This window comes from Homo sapiens, chromosome 22, assembly GCF_000001405.40.
Source record: "Homo sapiens chromosome 22, GRCh38.p14 Primary Assembly".
In the NCBI taxonomy this organism is placed as follows: domain Eukaryota; kingdom Metazoa; phylum Chordata; class Mammalia; order Primates; family Hominidae; genus Homo; species Homo sapiens.
Genome location: NC_000022.11, coordinates 27,003,944 through 27,027,159, shown reverse-complemented (window position 1 = coordinate 27,027,159; position 23,216 = coordinate 27,003,944). Strand labels below are relative to the sequence as shown.

Sequence of the window (23,216 nt, the reverse complement as noted above, 5' to 3'; positions counted from 1 at the left end):
GAGCATCTTCAGAGCTCATAGACTCTCAGAGTTGGGGGGAACCTTGAAGATCCCAAATCCTTTCTCACTCCACCCCAATATACAGATGAGGAAACTGAGGCCCATAGAGGGAAAGAGACCTGCCCAAGGTCACACAGGAGACAGTGACAGAGCTGGAATGGGAACCCACTCCTTACTTCTTACAGTTTACTTCCTCCATTGTACTGGCAGCTGCCTCTGCCAATTTTAGCATAAAGTATGCTCATGGTGTTGGGAGGCTTCCTGCTTCTCGGGACTGAGTGTGTTAGGCTTTGTGGAGGCCTTGGTTTCCCTACACAAACCCACCCTTCCACTGGAGGATGCCTTCATCCTTGCAAAGAGACAAGGTCCAGCTTCAAGAAGGGAATCTCTAAAAGGCTCCCTTTCTGCCTTTGCAGTTACTGCAAAACTCTGACCATGAAGGCCAAAAGAGACATGTCTACAAATGCATTTGATGTTTCCTGAGGGCCTCCCCTGGGCCAGTTCCTGTGCTGGGCTTCAGGGATGCAGAGACAGGCACAAACCCTCCTCTGCTAGTGGAGGAGAAAGACACATGAACAGATGACACATAAACATGATGGAGCAAAATCCCAAGTCCCAGGGAGACCAATCTCAGGAGAGGGGCTGATGGTGTTTTAGGGCAAACCTGGATAGAAGCTTCTATGAAGGCAATGACCTTAGCAGCAAGTTCTTGAAGTAGAAACTCCTAAATCAGAGTTCAGAGATGGGACTATTGAGGCCAGGGAAACCATTGACGTTGTAAACAAGACGGTGAGAATGTGCATTGTTTTCCTTGGGAAAGGGTGTACAATTTCCCATCTGGTTGGTAAAATGGATTTTAGTCTCTGCTCCTCCACAGGGATTTTAAGAAGCACTGTCTTACTGGATAAGGAGGCATTTCAACTTACAGCAACAGTGTGTCCAGTGACAAGGGATGCAATGTTATGTGGCATGTTGGAAAAACAGAGTCCTTGAGGACGGGGCTCCTGGATGGTGGCAGCAAAGCATGGGAATAGATGGGGCCTATATCAAGAACCTCACACTAGGAAAGTTTTTACCGGGTAGATGCATCAGGAAGCTTTCTTGAGTCCTCTGTTGATTTCAGAGACAGTCTTTTGCATTTCATCCTCTGCTTTAAACCGCTGATTGCTTAAGATTTCCTAGAGCCCTGTGGTCCCCACCCGGCCCTGGATCAGATTAAGAGCCCCCCTCTTCTGCAAAACTGGCAATGCTAGCATCCCATATTGCAGAGGAGGAAACTGAGGCTAAGAGCAGAGGATGTGGATTGCCCAAAGTCACACGGTTGGAGCAGATCCTGGGTGCACCTGCTGTCTGCCACCCTGGGCTACCTTCTACACAACCTTGAGAGCACCTGCCCACAGCCCACAGCCAAGCCCTGCCAGAGAGACCCAAGGAAGGGGCTGTCCACACCCTCCCTCTCTTCTGCCCACCTCTGCATCCTTACAACTCCCTGGCCATGTATAAAACATTCCTAGAAACCACTTATTTCTCATGCATTTTCCATGAGGTTGGGCCCAAGTTAAAACATATAAACATAAAAATATCAAGAAGCCCTTTAAAAAAAAAGAAAGAAAGAAAGGGCCATGTTTCATAAAATACCAAGAGACCAATTTCTGCACTTGCCCTGCTCCCCTGGCCGGTCACCCAGGGTTGTTCATTCTCTCCTCCCTTCTCTTGCCTGCTTTTCTCTCTTCTATCAACCTTTCCTCTTTCCGTTTCAACTTCACCTTTTCCATTTTATTTTTCTCTCTTCTTTTTCTCTTTTCTGGGCCCCTTTCCCCATCCATTTACCTGGCTCTCAAAGCATTCCTCTGTCTTCATTTCCACCTGTATTTCTCTGGTTTTTCCTGGCTGTTTTCCTATTTCTCTCTGTGTGTGTGTCTCTGATTCTGTTTCTCTGTGTCTTGCTGAGTAAGCATCCTTTGTTTTCTCCTTGCTTGGTTTCTGACAAGGTTCCTTCTTGCCCCTCCTACACCCATAACAATAGCTAAAGGTAAAAGAAATGACAATGATCCCAAGAGTTGGTGAAGATACAGAGCAACTGAAACCCCAGGCACCGTTGGTGGAAGTGTAAATTGGTGCAACCATTTTGAAAACTGGCAGTTTCTACTAAAGCTACAGGTCTATTTACCCTGTGACCAAATATCCCATTCCTGGGTATATTCCAAGGAGAAATGAGAACTTCTATTACCCCAAAGGCGTAGAAGAGAGTTTCATGCCCACTTGACTCAAAATAGCCCAAACTGGAGAGAGTCCAAATAACCATCCACAGGAAAATGGATAATTGAATTCTAATGTGTTTATGCATTGGAATATTGCACAACAATGATAACAATGAACTACCGCGACACGTAGCAACATGGATCAGTCCCCAAAACTTTGTTTTTGAGAAAAAGCCTCAACACAAAATAGTATATGCTGTATAATTCCATCTGTTTAAAGTTCAAGAACCGGCAAAATGAATCTATGTGCCTGAAGTCAGAAGAGTGGCCATCTTTGAGGAGGTATGCTTTGACTTGGGTGGCACAAGAAATCCTTCTAGGGTGTTGGAAATGTTCTATATATTGATCTGGGTAAAGTACAAACATGGGTAAAATATTCATCAAGCTGCACATAAGATTCGTGCAGCTTAATGTAAGTTATAACCCCATTTAAAAATAAAGAAAAATAATAGTACATAGAATTGCTTATTATAATCATTATGCTAATAATAATTTTTATGATCACAATTGGCAAATAATTTAGACTCAGGGCCCATAAACTCATACATGTTTCCGATCCCACTGATTAAGATGAGGGTGGGCATTTGGGTCCCCATGGCTGAGAACTCATCTTCCTACTAGACTGAGTCAAATCCTCAGATGCCTCAAACTTACCACTGTTACTAGGAGAGCCACACACCCTGGGACCCTTTGGAAAGACCTGCCTTGGAGAGAGAAAAACTGCTCCCATTCCAGGTCTCAGGTCTCATATTTATGGCATCGGTCTGATGCTTCATTATTTTATTTCCTGCTTCATTGGTAACGATCATGATTATGGTATAACTCAACACTTATTTTGATAAGTAAGTAGTTAATTAATAGCATAAAACCCAAACCCAAGTTAACAGGAAGGGGTTGGTCTAGTGGGAAACCTCAAGGAAATTGTTCTGTCTGTAGAGCCATCAGAAAACTATGACAGCCAACAGGGGAGGCTGAAGGAGAACCAAAACTCCAGCCCTGGGACTCTGAAAGGCCTTTATTTATGTTTTTCTTCTTCATTTGAGTCCTCCCAGGAGGGGAGGAAAGCACAGAGCCCAGCTTTCCTGCTTCAACAGCGTGGGTGTGAGCCCAACACACACAACCCTTGAAGGCAAACTAAAACCCACTTATTTTCATTGAAAGGGAGGAACTAGGGCCAGAGGGACTCAGGCACTATTAGTTAAATAATGGTGCTTAAAAATGCATTGAATGTAGCTGCCTCCCCACCCCTAAAAAATCTGGAATTTTCCTATTGAGTATACTTTTTTCTCTTGCCCATGAATATTAATGCTTTTCTCAGAGAGCTCTACTTCAAAAAAAAAAAAAAAAACAAGAATAAATTAAATACCTACAGATTTTTCTAATTCCTCTTTTTGGTGACATGCCGTCATTACATCAAATTACTGAGATGGGCCCGCTCTTTTTTTTTTTTCTTTTTGGGTGAAAATTATGGAATATAAAGTATATGTAAATGGAGCAAAGGAGGAAAAAAAAACTGTGAAGGAAGAATAGGGGAAGGAAAAGCATTAGGTATTCCGCCGGCGTAGTAGTCAGCCAATTAATCAAGCAGTGGCGAGAAAAAGATGCAGAAAGGATGAGTTCGCCCTTCATGTTGATGGGGCCGGCGCAGGGCAAACGCTACGGCACCTGAGCTCACGGTTAGGCATGCAGAAAGGGATCATGGGAATATCTTCCCGTCTTTGTCTTTCTCGTGAAGGATGGAAAATGTCAAGCTGTTGTTTGGCTGGATTGAGGGGGATGGGGGTGGGGGAGAGTCGAGGAGGATTCGCAGTCTGGTGAGGCAAGGTTTTAACTCTTTGAGGACATCTCTGCCTCCCTCCCTCCCTAGCCCCAGCTCCACCTTCTTCTCCTTCTCCCAGCCCCCCGAGCACATCTGTGGGGAACTCTGCCTGCAAACGGCAAGTGGGAAGGCGCTGATTGATGGTGACATGCAGGCTGGGGCAGCCTGTGTGTGTGTGTGTGTGTGTGTGTGTATGCGTGTGCGTGCACGTGTATGTGTGTGCATGTGCATGCATGTGTGTATGTGTGTGTTTGTGTGTGTATTTGTGCATACATATGCTGGGGGCGGTCAAGAGGCATTTTTTCTCTCCCTCATAAGTGTTCTTTGTTCATTCTGGAACTGAGCGGTGCATGACCCCTTCTCTCTCCAGCCCTGTCATGTCCCCTAGGAAGTGAGCAGTGCCTTGAAATCAGAGTGGCTGCAAAGACGATGGTTGTAGTAATGAGGCTTTGAGGATACAACCGGGTCTCCCTCTGCATGGCCCTCAGTATGCTAAGCCCACCCAGGAGGGTGGCCTGACAGGTGTCCCCTGGAACTGTCAGAATTCCAGGGTGATTGTAAGGACTGGCCATTCCTAGGGCTGGTGCTCAGAAGAGAATCAGAGTGCAGGGCTTATGACTCACACCGATGATGATCATATGGTAATGTAATAATTAGCCAACTTCACCAGCAATGCCTTGTCCTGATGCCTTTAAATATCCACATCATTTCATTATTTTTAAACTCTGGAAAAACCATGGTCCCAAGGAAAGATATGTCATTAATTCACTCACTGAGAACATGGGTATTTGATTTTCCCCACTTGCCCTTAGAATGGACTTGGTGGGCATTGAGTGGTCTATTTGGCAGATAAGGATGCTGAGATCAAAGGGCTTCCTTTAGGCCAGTGAGTGGGCTTACAAGGAGCTCAAACCATGTCTCCAGTTCTTATGTCAATCCTTGCTGTCCTTTGGCCAGAGAAGAATGAGCAAAATGAACTACATCCTGTTCCACCACCCTGTCCCAGGACCAGTCCATGACCATTGCCAGCACATCATGTGAGCCCACTGTGAGATCCAATCCGTACACAAAGGTGCTGGTTCTGGATCCAACCCATACAACAAAAATGTGGTCCAGGGACCAGCAGCATCCTCCCACATGAGAGCTTGCTAAGAATGCAGCGTCTCTGGCCTCAGCCCTGCTGAATTGGAGTCTGCCTTTTAACAACATTCCCAGGTGATTTGTGTGTACGCTGAAGTTTGAGAAATACTGTTTTAAGGAAAACTTATGCCCTACACTTACTATGTGAATTCTGGATGAGTCTGATGATCAAAGGCAGCTTCTACTCCATGAAATATGGTACCAGGTAGCATCTGCTGGGACTAAGTGTGAGTGCTGTTTGACTGCTCTTCACCCATCCTGACACATCCTATGAGATGGGCACTGTGGATGTACCCATATTACAGGTGAGGACGCAGAGACATGAAGAGGTGAGGGGACTTGCCAGAGGTGGGACAGCCAACAAGCAGCACAGCCAGAAATGGAACCCAAGCAACTGAGTCCCCTTTCGGGCCAATGATCCTGAAGCTTGAGCATGCATCAGAATCGCCTGAAAAACTCATGGGAGTGTAGATTTCTGAACACCAACCTAAAGATTCTGATTCAGAGGTGGACCTCAAAATGTGCCTTACTAACAAGTTCTCAGGCAGCAATGCCGAGGTTGCAAATACGGGGCCCACGCTTTGAGAACAGCTGCTCACTGGCGGTTCATCACCTGTGTTAAGAAACTAGCTGGTTTTGTGATCAACTCCAACCAGATATGATTGAGATTTGAGTCAGTGCCCCTGCCCTAAAAAGAAAAAGAAAAAAGGTGTATGGATGTGGGTGTGGGGGATGGTGTATTCATAGGGAATCACCAATAACTAAAACACAAAGAGGGCATGGTGGTCCACAGAAGGGAAAATTGCCTTTTGATGATCCCCAGCTTAGTGGCATGAGCTGTCCCCGTGCTCCTCATTGCCATGGCTAATTGAGAGTATATTGCAGCATCATTGCTGTAATAATCCTTTCCATTATTTAACCTGGACAATGCATGGTGTTATAATGAGTTTCCAGCGTCTGGTCATTAAACCAATATTTACAAGGCCCGGCCTGTCCTGGCCGGGTTCGGTGCAGAACACTGGAGACCAGGAAGATAAGGCACTGATCTTCCTGTCTTTCAACAACTCCCAGGTGGCCAGCTACACCCCTCCATTTGGGGCAGGTGGGTGGAAGGGAAGATGTGCATAATTCTGGAAGAAAAAAGGGGGGTCCTGAAAAGAATTCACAGCTGAAGTGACCTGGTAATATTTGAATGTTACTTTCTTGTCGTTGTATGCTGTTTGGAAAAAGTGTATCTGTAAGTGGACTAAAAATACACACAATTTTAAAATACAAAATTGAAAGTGTAACTTCCAAAGTTCTTCCCCCCAAGGATAATCACTTAACATTTGGTGGGGGGCAAATATCGTTTTAGATATCTCCTTCTATTTTCCTCTCTTCCTCCCCATCTGTCTCCTCTCTCCTTCCCTTCTTTCCTTTCCCCTCACCTCCCCTCTCTTCCCTTACTCTCTCTCTCAGCCTTCCCATCTCTCTCTGCTTGTCTCTTCCTCTCTTTCTTTATCCCTCTTATCCCCTCCCCTCTCCTCCTCTCCCCTCTTCTGTCTTTCTCTTCGCCCCTTTGTCTTCCTCCCTTTCTTTCCCCTCCTATCCTCTCTTCTCTGTCTGCCTCCCTATCTCCCTCCCATTCTCTCTCCCCCCACCTCTCTTTCTGCTTCTCTCCATCACATACAGGTATATGACTAGATGCAGCTCTGCATATTTGAGAGCAGTGGTGGAAAAAGACTAGAAGTCCATCAGGCAGTCAAGAGCCAGAAGGGTGTCGGGGCAAAGGGATACTATATGGTAAGGAGCATAAAGCGACCTGTGGAATGACAGCCCTAAAGAACTAACCCAAGTGTCGAAGAATGAGGGGATTCTCAGCAGGTGAGTCAGCAGGGCCTGGATCACGGTGTGCAGTTTGCACTTTACCCTAAAAGGAATGGGAAGCCAGGGAAGGTTCTAAGCAGGAGAAAGGCTTGGTCTTTTTGCCTTTTAGGGAGACCTCTCTGGTAGCTACTGTTGGGTCAGACTGAAAGGAGAGAAGCCAGAAGCCATGAAGCTGGCTGCATCAGATTCATCATAGCTAAGAAATTTTAAAAGAAAAATGACAGGATGCCAAGGGAGGTGTGTTTTGGTGCTGGGCATTTTCCGATCAAGAGAAAATAGAGCCCTGAAAGATATTTTCCTTCTGCAAACTCCAAGGAGGGAAAGAAAGAAAGAAAGAAAGAAAGAAAGAAAGAAAGAAAGAAAGAAAGAAAGAAAGAAAGAAAGAGAAAGAAAGAAGAAAGGAAGGAAGGAAGGAAGGAAGGAAGGAAGGAAGGAAGGAAAGAGAGAAAGAAAGAAGGAAAGAAAGAGAGAGGAGGGAGAGAGAAAGAAAGAAAGAAGAAAGAGAGAAAGAAAGAAAGAAAGAAAGAGAAAGAAAGAAAGAAAGAAAGAAAGAAAGAAAGAAAGAAAGAAAGAAAGAGAAAGAAAGAAAGGAAGGAAAGAAGGAAGGAAGGAAGGAAGGAAGGAAAAAAATAATTCCCAAACTCCCCCGTGTTTGTCTCTTTATCTCTATGATATTCAATTTCCTTATCTGTAAAATATATTTAAAATTCCCATTTAGCAAAGTGTTCAAACAGCAAATGGGTGCCCCTGGATTTTGCAAATTATAAAGTTCTTAACCAACAAGCAACCGTGGCTGTTGCTGTTGTCCTGTGGTTGATTGTATTTGTAGCTCTTTACATACTTCACAGAAGTTCTCACCACCTGCCTTATGCTTTCATAATTGTATATCTTTCAGCTTCTGCCTCTAGAGCAGCACTGTTTCTAATAGAACTTTCTGTGATGACGGAAACTTTGCATATCTGAGCTGTCCAATATGGGAGCCACCAGTTTCATGTGGAACCCTTGCAGTGTGACTGATGTGACTGAGAAACCACATTTTACATTTTATTTAACTATAATTAATATACATTTAGATTTAAATAGTCACAAATGTCTACCACATTGGACAGCACAAACCTAGAAAGAAAGACCATTGAAAACATGGACTATGTCTTACCTGCCTTGCAATCCCTGCTTTACAATGGATGGATGGATGGATGGAAGAATGGATGTGTAGATGAGTGAATAGATGAAGGGATATATGAGTGGGTGAGTAGAAGGATGAATGTGTAGATGGGTGAATAGATGGAAGAATGGATGGGGGGGTGGATGGATGGATACATGAGTGGGTGAGTGGAAGAAAGGTTGGGTGGACGGGTGAATGGATGGATAGATAGATGAATAAGTGCATGGAAGGATGGATGGATGGATGGATGGATGGAAGAATGGTTGTGTAGATGGGTGAACAGATGGATATATATATGAGTGGGTGAGTAGAAGGATGAATGTGTAGATGGGTGAATAGATGGAAGAATGGATGTGGGGGTTGATGGATGGATGTGTGAGTGAGTAAGTGAGTGAGTGAGTGGGTGAGTGGAAGAATGGTTGGGTGGATGGGTGAATGGATGGATAGGTAGATGAATAAATGAATGGAAGGATGGATGGATGAGTGGGTAGGTGGAAGAATGGGAGGATTGGAGGATGGGTGGAAGGGTGGGTGGACGGATATATGTGTGAGTGAATAGAAGGATGGATGGGTACAAGGGGGGATGGATGGATGGATGCATGGATGGATGGATGGATGGATGGTTATAACAGGTGCTTACTAGCATGGCTGAAAGGGCTCCCAAATCAAACTAAAAACATCTGGTTGATGTCTTCACTCCATCACATACAAGTTGAATGACCTAAAACAAACTATTTTACATATCATAGCCTCAGTTTCCTCATCTGTAAAATAATTCTAATCTCAGAAGGCTGTCATGAGGGTGAAATGAGATCATTTATGTAATAACACTATACAACATATAACGGACTGTACAAATGTAGGGCATCACTATTATGTTTCATGCCCATTGAGCAATTGAGTAAATGAAGCAGTTGCTCCTGATGGATAGTAGATCCTTGATAAATGTAATAAATGAAGGCAAAAATGAGTAAACCATTAGTTACAATATGAAGCACAAGCCAAGAGAGGGAACCATAGTTTCTAGGAATAACGTGAGTAATGGATTTTTAGGAAACTGCTGAGGGGGGCAATTGGAGAAAGACACGGGTGAGTCTGGTGGAGAAGGAAGGGTTAAGATTTTGGATTCAGGCAGATCTGTGTTCAAATCCCAGCCTGTCTATTTTGTCAGTCTGTAACTTTGGGCCAATCTCTTCACCTGCTTCTAATTTCTCTCCATAGATACTAATGGTGTTGGGGACAATACTCTACTTCAGAAGACTTCAGAAAAATTACCTGAAATACAGCATGTGTAATTACCTGCCCCATAACAGCCACATAGTAGATGCCCAATGAATGTATTTCCCATAACAGTTCCCCTCCTGGGACATAGATTAAGGGATGGGGAGAATAGCTAACAGAGAAAGGTCTTCCATGTTTCCAAAGGGTAGTAATAATTAAAATACCACTGCTAATAATGATAACAGCTAGCATGAACTACACTCCATCTACACGTCTGGTATTTAGCTAAGTTCTTTGTGTATAGTAATTATCTTAATTATTCCATATCCCAACCCTGCAAAGTCAATTCTATTATTATTCCCATTTCGCAGATAAGAAAACTAAGAGCCCGAGAGGTTAGCTAACTTGTCCAGGGTCACACAGGAGCTGAGATGAGAATTCAAGGCACCTGATGCCCCCTGTTGTGTTTTTATAAAGCGTAAAAATAAGATGCACAGCCTCTTAGGGGTTAACTCTACCACAGATAACTTTAATTGAACCCTTCCCACATGTAAGGCATTTAACATACTTTATCTGCAAGCTTCCCACTATCTTGCTGGGGAGGCATTATCAGCCCTGTTTTATAGATGGTAAAACTGAGACTCAGAGAGGTGAAGTTACTTGCCTAAGGTCACACAGCCAGGAAGCTTCAGATCTTGGATCTGCACTCAAGTTGTAGATTCCAGGGCTGGTGGCTTCACTGCACCACATTTGTGTGGAGAGTAGAAAGGAGAGCACTTTGCAGGTGCCTTTCCCAGGGGGACACATACTTCCCTCCCCTAGTGAGCCCTTCCAACCAGGGAGACAGCAGCCCTTGAGTCAAATGGCTTTTGGACGATGCAATTGGTCTTTTTCCATTCCATCTCCCCCATTGGTTCATAGCTTCCAGCGATCTATTCTTCCTGCAACGTGCCTGTCTTGGTCTTCCATGTGTGCTGGAAGTTTCCAAAATACTCATGTAAAGATGACTTGTTCCTACGTTCAAAGGAGAAACTCCTCCACCCTAATCAACCTGGGAAAGACTGATGAGTTGGAGGCTGGAGACCTGCTTCTGGTCTTGTTCAGGTAGTGTGTGAGCTTCTCTGGGTCCCAGTGGCCCCATCTCTAAAATGGGCAGGTTTGCCCTGGAGCTAACCAAGTCCCCTTCCAGCTTTGATTCTCATTGGTCCTGCTTCTCAGATCACTGCCTTCAGGGCTGGACTCTGCAGGACCTAGCTGGTAACACAGGCAGCTGCCTACTTGGGGTGGGTTATCTACCCCAGGGGTATTTATGTTCTCTGCTTTAAAAAAATCCCTCCTTAAAACAGAAACATCCCCAGAAGAGTGTTAACACCTCCCACCTTGACAGAACAGGTCTAGCCTTTGGGTGGTGGTGGAGGCAAGCAGACTCTTCTGAATAGGAGGGGATGCATCTTGAGGGGTAGCAAATACTGATTTGGGCCTCTCTCTCACTCTGCTCCTACCCACAACCTCACTTGTCCTTATTATTCTTTTCAAGAACAGAAATATCTGACGCTGGATAATTGAGCACTGGGGAAATTTCTCCCACCTCCCCTAGGTAGTTAGTGATATTGTAGAAAATGTATTGATGTGACATAATGTTGACAATCAGTTCGTAAGTGAAAAAAAACTACAACTAAAAAAACCAAGTTACAGAGTAACATGTATGGTAGGAGGTTATATTTCAAAGATATATATTATTTATAGATATATATATATATTTATATGTATACATAGAAATTTTATGGGGAAACGTTCCTGGAGGCAATACGGCAAAATGTGAATGGTCCCTTTCTCTGGGAGGTAGAAAGAGATTTTTAAGATGTTCTTCCCCCAATTCCATGATGTGTGAGTCAGTGGAGTGGGAATGACATGATAGTTTTCTCACCTCTATGTCCTTGGCATCTGACACAGCACTGACATACAGTGGGTGCATGAGAAATGTTTGTTGAATGGATGGAGAGGAATTTTTCCTGCACATTTTCTATAATGTGCTTGCCTTGTTCTCATAAAGAGAAAGGTAATAAATGCTTAATTGTTAAGTAAATCTTTTTAAAATGAACAGGAAACTGGTCTAAATGAAGTATCATTATCTATTGGAAGCTTGGACCGAGAATGGGCTGCAAGATGGAGCCTTGGGGTAGTGAGATGATGCTATCTGCTTTGATGGGCAGAGCCTGGCACGTTTTGGGGCATCAGGGGCCTCTGTGAGAGCACCTGGGCTTAGCCTCAGATGAAGAGGGAGCTGCAGACAGCACATTCACGGGGGCCGCATCCACAGTATATTGGCGCCACACCAGTCTTCCCTGAGCAGGGTAAGACAGCAGTCTCCACACTTCCAGAAGGTCAGGATGGTATGGAAGGCTATCGTCAATCTATCTTGGGTCACTGGCGCTAAGGAAGCCCCTTGTAGCAGAATTACTCTCCCCTCCTCTGACCTGCTCTTCAGACCAGGCCTCCAACCCAGCCTCATACCCTGCTTTGCCTGGCTACCTGTCCCAGAAGCCTGTAATGTCCAGGGATAAGACCACGACCTGACCCCCTGGCTAGCTCAGTTCAGACTAGCTCAGGGAAAATGCTCAGGTTTGAGGCCACTGGGCCCATCTTTAAGTTGGGAGCATCATTCCACTACTCTGAGCCTCAGTTTTCTCATCCGTAAAATGAAAATAATGCTATCTTCTTTGTGTGGTTGTTAAGAAGATTAAGGAAATCATGTATGTACCATACTAGCTTTAAGCACAGAGCCCAACATGCACCAACTGGCCAATAATTGGAAGTTTCCACTGTCAGAAAAGGGTATCTGGGTTCAGAACAGATTCCCTGTGTAAGAAATGGGGTGTTATGCCAAATAAAGAGAAGACAGCAGGAATCTTCAGCCATGTATCAGTTAAGTACTGCTGCATAACAAATAATCCCACAATTTGGTTGCCCGAAATAACAACTACTCACTATTTCTCATGGTTTCTGGGGATTTAGAATTTGGAAATAGCCCTGCTGGGTGGTGCTGGCTTGGAATCTCTCTTGAGATGGCAGTCAGATGGTGGCCAGAATGGGGATACCTTCAAAGTTTCTTCACTTCCATGCCTGGTGCCTGAGCTGGGCAGATACAACAGCTGGTGGTTGGGACAGTAGGGATCCATGGGCATCTCTGTCTCCATGCCCTCTCGCCACATGGTCTTCCCAGCATGGCAGCTTCAGGGCCACAAACATGTCACATGGCAGCCTCAGGGCCCAAAGATGCGTGTCCTCAGGGAGAGCTGGAGCAGAAACTACAGCACCAATTCAATCTTGCCTTGAGAGTCACCCAGCAACACTCCTACAGTATTTTATTTGTGAGAAACAAGTGGCTCTTTCTCAGGGAATAAAGCTGGTATCCATGCGGGCCGTGGGGTGATGGTGGTGACCCACCCAGGGGATAGAGGAACTGCAGGCTGGAGACTGTGGGCTCTAGCTCCCAGTCACAGCCCCTCCTGACTCAGAGCATTTTCCCCATCTAGAAAGCCAGGGCATGGCCTCGACAGTGTCTTGAAGGCACTGTGCCATTGGGGGTGCTGCAGTGGGGCTGACCTGAGTTTGGGTTCTGGTGCTGCCACTTACTAATTCTGTGACCCTGGAGAAGTCATTTCACCTCTCGGTGCCTCATTGTAAAGGGGGAAAGCAATACCCACTGTGAAGGTGGTGAGTGTCACATGCACGTGAGGTGCACAGCACGTAGGAAGAAGGCTTCTAGTAGTAGGCATCTTTGCAGCATCTGCATAATTACCAAAAATTGTGGAAGCCTGTGACCAAGGTGGTTGTTTTATTTCACACCTGAGACCTTCACTTTTTATAACCTGGCCAGGTGATAGAGAACTTCTACATTCCCCAGCCACTGTCTCCCTCATTCCCCAACACACACACACACACACACACACACACACTCTCTCTCTCTCTCTCTCCCGTTCCTCTCTCACACACATATATGTGCACACATTCTCACATAGACACATGCAGACCCATGTACATACACTCATGTGAATTCATACACACATATACATGTACATGTGTGCACATATGTGCATACTCCCTCTCACACACATGCATATGCACACATATCCATGCTTGTATACATATGTACATATTCTCTCACAAACACACTCGCATGTATATTGTGCACACACGTACACAATCACACACTTATGTATATTTGTCCACACATGTACACACTCTCATAAGAACATGTACACACATATGCACATGGACACTTTCACATTCATATATGCATGTACACATGTACACACACTCCATCTTTCTCATGTACATATACACAACTCTATCCCTGTCACACTCGTGCACACACATATCCACACTCTTACGCATACACACACTCTCCCATACACACGTACACAAATGTACCCACACACACTCCATCTCTCACACACATACACACTCTCCCTCCCCTGCATACCCTCTCTTATGTACACATATACATACACACTCATGTACTCTGTGCACAGTCTCTCATACACACACTTACACACACTCACATGTACACGCGTATGTACACCCTTTCACACATATACACTCACATATAAATGAACACATATAGACTCTCTCTTACACTCATGTGCACAAGTACACATACACACATAATCTCACACACACACTTCACACACTCTGGCCTTCCTATCTAGTCAGTGCTGGCAATTTTTCCATCAGCCCATCTGCCCTACTCTGCACCCTTCTCCACCCCACTCTCTGCCCTGGAGGTCCACCTGTGCATGCATCAAGGGTTTCTTGTTGTGTTAAGCCAACAGCAAGGACCAGCAGGAGATGACAGAAGTAAGGTTGAAGGCTTCCTATGAGGGAAGTCCCTCGAGCAGGCTGGTCCCCACCACTGAGGTCCACAGCTCCTGTCCGCAGGTTCCCATCACTCACCCTCCCTATCCTGTGGTTCTGGGAACCTCTCACCTCCCTTGCCCATTTGCGCTTAGAGGTAGTAACAGCTTCCTGCTATGACTAACCCCAGTGCTGCCCCTGCTCTCTGATATCCCTACATCCTGTCCCCACATTTGTAAATAATCCCTTTAATACTACTCTTCAAATTCCCGTCGAAAGATTCCACCTGTTTCCTGCCAGAACCTTGGCTGCCACATTTTCTCCCTGTGCTCCTGCTTCTAACCTCGCCTTGCAGACAGACTCCCCAAAGAGCCCGTATTCCACATCCCCTGCCCTGCCCCGCCCCAACCCCTTCCATGCCTTTGCATTGCCTCAAAGTCCAAGCACCCTCTCTGGTTCTCTCCCACAAGCCCCCTCCCTACCCAACCCATTCCAGCCGCACTGGAATGATCAAGGCTCCCCACCCACCATCATCTTCATCCTCTCTGACATCTACTGGGCACTTCCTACCTGGCGCATACCATGCATTAGATCCCCCCAGCAATTCTGTAAAGCAGGTGTGATTATTGGCCTCATTTTACAGGCAAGGAAATAGCCTTGGCTTTCCAGCCTCCACACTCACGCATCGAGGTTCCCTCAGGACCAGTGTCCCCCTAGTTCCTCTCAGCTTATCCAGTACCTACCCATCCTTTATGGTTCTGAGGCCACCTCCTCCAGAAGCCTTCCCATTCTGGCCTAGCCCCAGGGAACGTTCCTTCCCCTGAACTCTAGCCATGCACAGTTGCTTTACTCCTCTGTGGGGCATCCCTTTGGGGTTGCTGTCAGGAACAGCTGTGGACTGTCCATTTCTCCACACTGTGGTATTGGGTAAGCATAGAAGCCAGGCTGGCATCAGGCAGTGATCAGAGAAGGCCTCCCGGGGGAGGTGATGGAGAAACTGAGAGCTGACCGACCCACAGTAGACAGTCAGGGAAAGACAAGGGAATAGAGCTGCCTGCAACAGGATCAGCATGTTCAAAGGCCCTGAGGCAGGAGAGGCCATGTCAGTCACACTTATGAGAGTTATCTGTCATTTATCACAACCACCAAGGCCTTCCCTGATCACTGTCTGGCCCCAGCCTGGCATCTGTGCTTACCCAGTGCCACTGTGTGGAGAAATTCTGTCTCCTCTTCTCTAGGAGACACTTGGCAATGTCTGGAGATATTTCAGATTATTACAAGTATGTGTATTGGGATAGGGGTGCTACTGGCATCTAACAGTTGAGGGCAAAGATGCCGTTAAGCATCCCACAATGCACAAGACAGCCCCCGCCACAAAGAATCACCCAGCCCAAATGTCAATAGTGCCAAGGTTGAGAAACTCCAGTATACCAGCAGCATTAGCATTGCCTGGGAACTTGTTAAAAATGCAAACTCTCTGGCCCCACTCCAGATCTGTTGAATCAGAAACTCTGAGGGGTAGAAGTCCTTATTGTAACAAGCCCTCCAGGGGGTTCTGAGTTTTGCTCCAGTGTGAGAAACACTGGTAGAGCCAGAGCAGTTGTCCTCAGCCCCGACTGCTCATTGGAATCACCTGGGAGTTTCCACAGCACACAGCAACCAGCCTCTATCCCAGGTATCCACTTTAATTAGTCCAGGAGCCCAGGCATGGACATTTTTTGAAAGTTTCTAGTTGTCTGTAATAGGCAGCCAGTGGTGAAAACTACCAAGCTAAACTAGCGAGACCAAACACAGGGAGAAGAGAGAGTCTACAAGGGCCAGAACAACAGGGTCTTCAATGACATGCTAAGGAGTGCTGACTTTATTGGGAGGGCATGGAAGGGTTTGTTGCAAGGAAGTGGCACTCTCAGATAGTTTAGAGAGATTTCTGACTGCAGGGAGGAGGCTGGACAGGAGAGGTAGAGGCTGATGGCAGGGAGACCAGTGAGGAAGTTGAGAGGAGATGGTAGACCAAACCACAGTCATGCCCCTAAAAAGAGATGTTGAAACTCCAACGTTTGGTACCTGTGAACGTGGCCTTATTTGGAAATAGGATATTTGTAGATGCAACCAATTTAAGATGAGGTCATACTGGATTACGGTGGGCCCTAAATCCAATGACTGACGTTCTTATAAGGAGATGGAGATTTGTAGATGTACAAAGGCAAGACATACACAGAAGAAAGCCCCGTAAGGACAGAGACAGAATTTGACGTGATGCCTGTGAAAGCCAAGGAAAGCCAAGGATTGCCAGCAACCACTGGAAGCCAGGAAAGGCAAGGAAGTTTCTTCCATAGAGCGCGTGGAGGGAGCATGGCGCTGTCAACACCTTGATTTTGAGCTTCTGGCTTCTAGAACTGTTAGATAATAAAGTTTTACTATTTTAAGCCACCCTGTTTATGGTACTTTGTTACAGCAGCCCTAGAAACTGATACAGGGAAGAAGTGGCCCAAAGCCCTGACCAATGACCCAGGAGGATCAGGCCCTGGACATACCCAGCCAGCTGCTGTTCCCAAGGGCTGCTGCGGGCCAGGTGGCTAGTGGGTGGTAGCCAAGGTTCACACAGGCTGCCAAACACAACTGGGGTTTGGCAAGGCAGGTGTGGAGCAGCAAGGAGTCAGAATGAGATGGACAGAACTGGGGCTTGGAAGGAGAAAGTGTTGGTGTCCTGCACATCTGAGGTGCTGAGGGAGACAGTGTCACCCAGTGTGGAATGGCCATCCTCAAACTGGGCATGGCTCTCACAGCCGAAGTGAGTGTTGTCTGCTGAATGCCTTCCTGTTTCTTTTCCCTAAGAAGGGTGACATGAGAAGCCCCAGCAAAGATGTATCAAGGTGTCACCCAGCCTCCATGGCCCTGTGCCACGGGCACTGCAGTGGCCTCCTAACTGATCTCCTGGCTTCTGCTCTTTCTCCACTGCTATGGAAGCAGAAGTGATCCTTTCAAAATCTAAGTCCAATCTTGGCACTCCTTTACTCAAGAGCCTCCCATGACTTTCATCCCACTAAAAGTAAAAACCAAAGTCCTTATGATGTCCCACAAGACTGCACAGTCTAGGTCCATGTGAACTCATTGATTTCATCTCCTGTATCCACTCACTCTGCCCCAGGCAAATCAACTCCTTCACTTTTGTTGTTTCTTGAACAGGCACATGCCCACCTCAGGGACTTTGTACAAGCGTTCTCTCTGCCTTAAATGCCTTTCCCACAGATACTGGGAAATATATCCATGACTTCTTCAAGTCTGTTTGAATGGCATCTTTCTCAATGAGTCCTCCCTTGGCCACCATACCAATAAGTGCAACCCCTTGCTCCATCATGTTGATCCCCTCAGCATACTCTTTTTTCAATAGTGAGATTAATTTTCAGAACTTGTGTTTCATATTTTTCTCCTCCCGCTGGAATGAAAACTCTTGAGGACAGGGTTTTGGTCACTGGTGTGCCCAAGTGCCTAGTACAGTGTCTGGCACATAGAAACACCCAATAAAGTTTGTTGATTGAATGAATGCTCGAACCCAACATTTTTTGGATACTCACTGCATGCCAGACTCTGAGTGAACTCCACATCCATTATCTCACTTGGTCTTCCAAAATCTAGGAGGATGGTGAAAGGAAGCCACCACCCCTTTTAATTTGATTGAGATGAGGAAGCCAAGGCTGGGAGAGGTGAGGTGACTTAGCCAAGGTCACTCATCTGGCCAGAGTAGGTCACCATCTGCACTGACTAGAAAATGGGCATAAGGGCACGTGAATCTGGCCCCTTCTATGCAACTGGCTTAGGGCTGTAGCTGATTCTGAGCCTGAATCTGTCTCATCTCATTTAACTAATACTGGTTGAGCACCTACTGTGTGACAGAGATGTGTGCTAGAGACTTTAAATGAGCAGGAGATGGAATCCCTTCTCTCTTGCTCTTACAGCCTCGTGGAGTGGGATGCTGCCTAGAGTCCCTGTGTAAGATGATGATGATGATGTTGGTGATGATGATGATATGGTGATGATGATGGTGATGATAATGGCGATGTTGATGATGGTGGTAATGATGATGGTGATGGTGATAATGATGATGCTGCTGCTGATGATGATATGGTAATGATGGTGATGGTGATGGTGATGGTGATATTGATGATGGTGATGGTGATGATGATGATATGGTGATGATGGTGATGGTGATGGTGATGATGGTGGTGATGATGATGGTGATGGTGATAATGATGATGGTGATGGTGATGGTGATGATGGTGGTGATGATGATGGTGATGATGATATGGTGATGATGGTGGTGATGATGATGGTGATGGTGATGATGGTGATGATGATGTGGTGATGGTGATCATGATGATAGTGGTGGTGATGATGGTAGTGGTGGTGGTGGCAACTAATTTTTATTGAGTGCTTACTATGTGTCCAGCCCCATGTGAGGCTTTATCTGCCCTCACTTAATTCTTCCAGTCCCCTTTGATGTGGGCACTATTCTTATCCCAACAGAACAGTTGAGGAAAACAAGGCAAAGCGAGGGGTAGGATTTTGCCCAATGCCACCCAGCTCATAAGTGGGAGGTAGAGCCAGGAGCCCTACACAGGCAGTTTAACTACGGGACCCCCTCCTCCACTCAGCCCATGCTTTTCCCTGAGGTGTGTGTGTGTGTGAATGCACAAAGCACACAGTCCAACCCACTGTGGAAGTTATTTGCAGTGATAAATAACACATGTAACAGAAGTTTATACAAATCGTTAGTGGAGGATTTACGTGGTGAAGGCTGGGGGGCAATGGCCTGTGACTGGTACCTGTAGCTGTTAGCACTCTGCAAAATGACAGTGTTGCTTCCCCACTGCAGCCTGCAGCTCTCCTCATGGGTGCTGGTAGTCCAGCACAGCTTGAAGCCAACAGCCATTTACTGTGAGACTCCAGACACCATGCCCCCTGATGGGCTATCATGGACCCCACCAATGAGTAAGAGGAGTGGCAAACCCCCTCAAGGCAATGCCAAACAAATGTTAAGGTGGTGGGAGCAGAAGATGAAGCACAGGAATCTGAGTCAGACATTCATTCATTCACCGATCAGACACTTATTGAGCACCTACTATGTGCCATGCAGTAAGCCAGTGAATGAGAAGACCATAGCAAGCTGAGCTGGTGCTTTTGTGGGAAGTTTACTGGAAGAGAATAGATTAACATTTAATAATACAATAGAAAGAAACACTGTTGTATGAGCATATACAATACATGGACCTGACCCAGACGACTGGGGATATAAATGGGGATGGAAGAGACTTGCATAAAGAAGTGATGCTTGATCTGAGGTTTGGGAGAGCAGAAGGTGAAAAGCATCTGAATAGGCAAAGGGAATATATCATACACAAAGGCCCCAAGTTGCCAAGAGATAACTTGTATGCCTGAAGCTCAGAGACTGAGCAAAAAGAAGGGTAGAGAGATGGGTTTGGAGAGATAAGCAGGAGGAAGCTCTCATAGGGCATTGTGGCCATTGTGGATGTGGCCATTCTAGGGCTTAGCCCTAGAATCAGTGGAAGAGAAAGGTATGCACTAACTTCATCACATCAGATCTGTACGTTTTGAAACCCCTCTGCTGTGGAGTGAAGGACCAATAGGTGGGGTGACTAACATGGACTCAATGAAACCATTAAGGAGACTCGTCCAGTCACCACATAAGAGGTACTAGCACTTGGCCGAATCTCTGGGGAATTTGGTTCAAATTCCAGTTGTGACATTTACAGGCTCAGTGACCTTTGGCAAATGACTTTCCCTACCTGAGGCTCAGTGTTATCATCTGTAAAATGAGAATAATACTCCTTGCCATGCAAGGGATTGAGAAAGTTCTGTAAGATAGTAACTCTCATAGCCCAGCAGGGGAAAGGAAATGAGAAGGAGCTGCCGCAGACTGCAGTTAAATTCTGCACCTCTTCCCCCGCCCTTCTACTATCTGATCTTGGAATAACCTAACTCTCCCCTTGTATTTTTTTCCTTTTTAAGGGATCTACAGGGGACACCATCACCTCAGAAGAAGGTCTTGTTTTGGTGGACATGGCCACTGGGGGACCAGATGTTTCTTTTTTTGTGACAGGGTCTCACTCTGTCACCCAGACTGGAGTGCATTGGTGCAATCTCGGCTCACCACAACCTTCACTTCCCAGGCTCAAGTGATTCTCCTGCCTCAGTCTCCCAAGTAGCTGGGATTACAGGCACCTGCCACCACACCCAGCTAATTTTTGTATTTTTAGTAGAGGTGGGGTTTCACCCTGCTGGATAGGCTGGTCTTGAACTCCTGATCTCAAATGATCCACCCGCCTGGGCCTCCCAAAATGCTGGGATTACAGGCGTGGGCCACTGCGCCCGGCCAACCAGACGTTTCTTAAGATTCATCCTAATTCTGAGGTTTGACCACTCCTTGGCTTGACATTCAAGGCTTTCCACAATCCAGTCCCAGCTCCCAACTCCCTGGGGGGCCATCTTCCCACTGTGAGCAAGGACAGCAGAGGGGAGGCAGAAGGATAGTCTTTGAACCCAAAGAGTTAAAAGATCGTCATATTCCTTGCTACATCAATGACACCTGACACAACATAAGTGCTCAATTTCTGGTATTGGAATGAAATAATACAATAAAATCCAGGGCTTCCTGGACAAGTGTATCTTAATGGAGTTAGTAGCATCTCCTAAGGGGAATTTTAGGAATGTAGGATGTGAAGCATTTTCTATTATCTTATCCCAGTGGTGCTCAACAAGTGGATATTTTGCACCCTCAGGAGACATTGGCAATATCTAGAGATATTTTTGATTGTCATAACTTAAGGGGGAGATGTTTCTGGCATCACAGAAACCGGGGAGGTTGCTAAACATCCCACAATGCACAGGAAAACCCCCTACAATAACGACTTAATCTGATCTGATCCAAGATGTCAATGGTACTAACTTTGAGAAGATCCGTCCTAGTAATTGGGGAGAATTACATCAGCAATGCAGGACATGCAATTCCCAAGACAGTCCCACAGCAAGAAGAATGGCCCCAAGTGCCTCAGGAATTTTGAGTGCCCTTCTGGGCATTCATGTAGATATAATTCCTCCTTAATAATTATCTGAGCCTAGAATTTAAATCCGTCTTACATACAGCTAAATGTTTTGGCACAGATTTGCTTTACATGGGATTTTCCTTGAATGTAGTTGCAGTGTAAATTGGGGGAAGGGAATACTTTGTTTTATCCAAAACCCCAACAAGAGTTGTTTTTCACTTTGGAAAATCCAGGCATCGACCTCAAAGTTGATCGTGGAACGTGAATTGCTGCCTGCACACCTGTGTCAGTCGACTTTTGCAGTCCTATTCACAGTGACACTACCCATATATATGAATATACTAATTTAGCTCTTATTTCAAAATGTCAAAAATAGAGAAAAAAATGTCGACAATATTCAATTGAATATTTGTCTGAAATTTCAACTTACTCATTATAAGTAGACACAAGCATCAGACCGCTTCATCATGTTTCCTGGCATATAGTGGTTTTTGATAATTTACATATTAAAATAGATATTATTTTATTATAAATTGCTTTCATTTTATTCCTCCCTTACAGTTAGGGCATTATATTAACTTTTTTGAAATTACATGTATATGTAGATGAAATGTATGATTTTCAATTCAGAATAGTGAAGTGGAGGTTATAATGTGTATAACGAAGAGTATGTGTGGTCTGGTAAGGCAGAGCTTCACTGTCTAGTTCCCATATTGAAAGGTCAACATTGATATTGAAGTGGCAGAAGCCAGAGACTCTAGTCATACTGTAATTCGCACTCACTAAAGAATCACCCTGAGTCACACATAAATTTTAAATGTTCTATAGAACATTCATGAAGGTAAACCTTTGTTTATAAACACCTGAGTCTAGCTATTTTATTACTCAGTGTTTGCTGTGTAACAAATAATCCCAAAAATCTCAATTACTGGCAAAAAGCATTTATTTTTCTTACTCAGAAGCCCTACAGATTGACTGCATTTGACTCTAGGCTGCTTCACCTCTCTCTCTTCCTCCATAGACCGGCATGTACCTGGGGCATGCTGTTCTCATGCAAATAACAGGACTGCAAGAAGCCAAGGCAAACCACACAGTATATTTAAATCTTCCCTTTGCATTATGTCTGCTCAGGGATCATTGGTCAAATTAAGTCACATGACCAAGCCCAGTAACAACTGGATGAGGAAATAAGCCCCACCTCTAGTAGGAAGGGCCTCAAAGTCACATGGCAAAGGGCAGAGGTACATGGAAGCTTGAAACATTGGGAACAAAAATCAATAATCCAGCCTAACTCTGTTTTATATCTAAACACAAATTAACTGTGACAGTTTTTTTTTCCATGCTTAGCAAAAGTTTGTTGGATAAATGCTTTCACCACAGAGTGTAAAAATGGCACAAAAACTTTGAAGGGGGAAAGATGAGGGCAGGTAATTCACTTGTCCCAACCTTCATATTGAAAACCTACTATACGTCAGACTCCATATCTGAGCTGTTTTTGTCCTCACAACAACTTGAAGAAACAGAAATGATTGTCTTCATTTTCACAGATGAGGAAATGGAGGCTCAGACAGGTTAAGAAAGTCACTCAACGTCACACAGCTCGTTAATGTTGGAGCCAGCATTCAAACTTATGCATGCATGACTCCAAAGCCTGCAAGCTTTCTATTTCATCGGGATATCGCTCTGTGGATTAGGAGAACCAACCCAGACCCAGTTTCTCCCAGAAACCCCTAGATATTGGACCTAGGCTTTAACACTGGCCTAAGTCATTTCTAGTTGTGGAAGGCAAGTTGAGTCACTGGGACATGTGACATTTATTTAGTTAC

General features: G+C 45.3%; 1 annotated feature.

Annotated features, from left to right (window-relative positions):
* Nucleotides 6,462-7,661: an enhancer, noted in NCBI's record as "P300/CBP strongly-dependent group 1 enhancer chr22:27415462-27416661 (GRCh37/hg19 assembly coordinates)". NCBI's record gives its function as "activates an origin of replication core promoter dependent on BRD2, BRD4, P300/CBP, MED14 and CDK7 cofactors, with strong dependence on P300/CBP, by STARR-seq in HCT116 cells {active_cell/tissue: HCT116}" and the evidence as "EXISTENCE:reporter gene assay evidence [ECO:0000049][PMID:35650434]".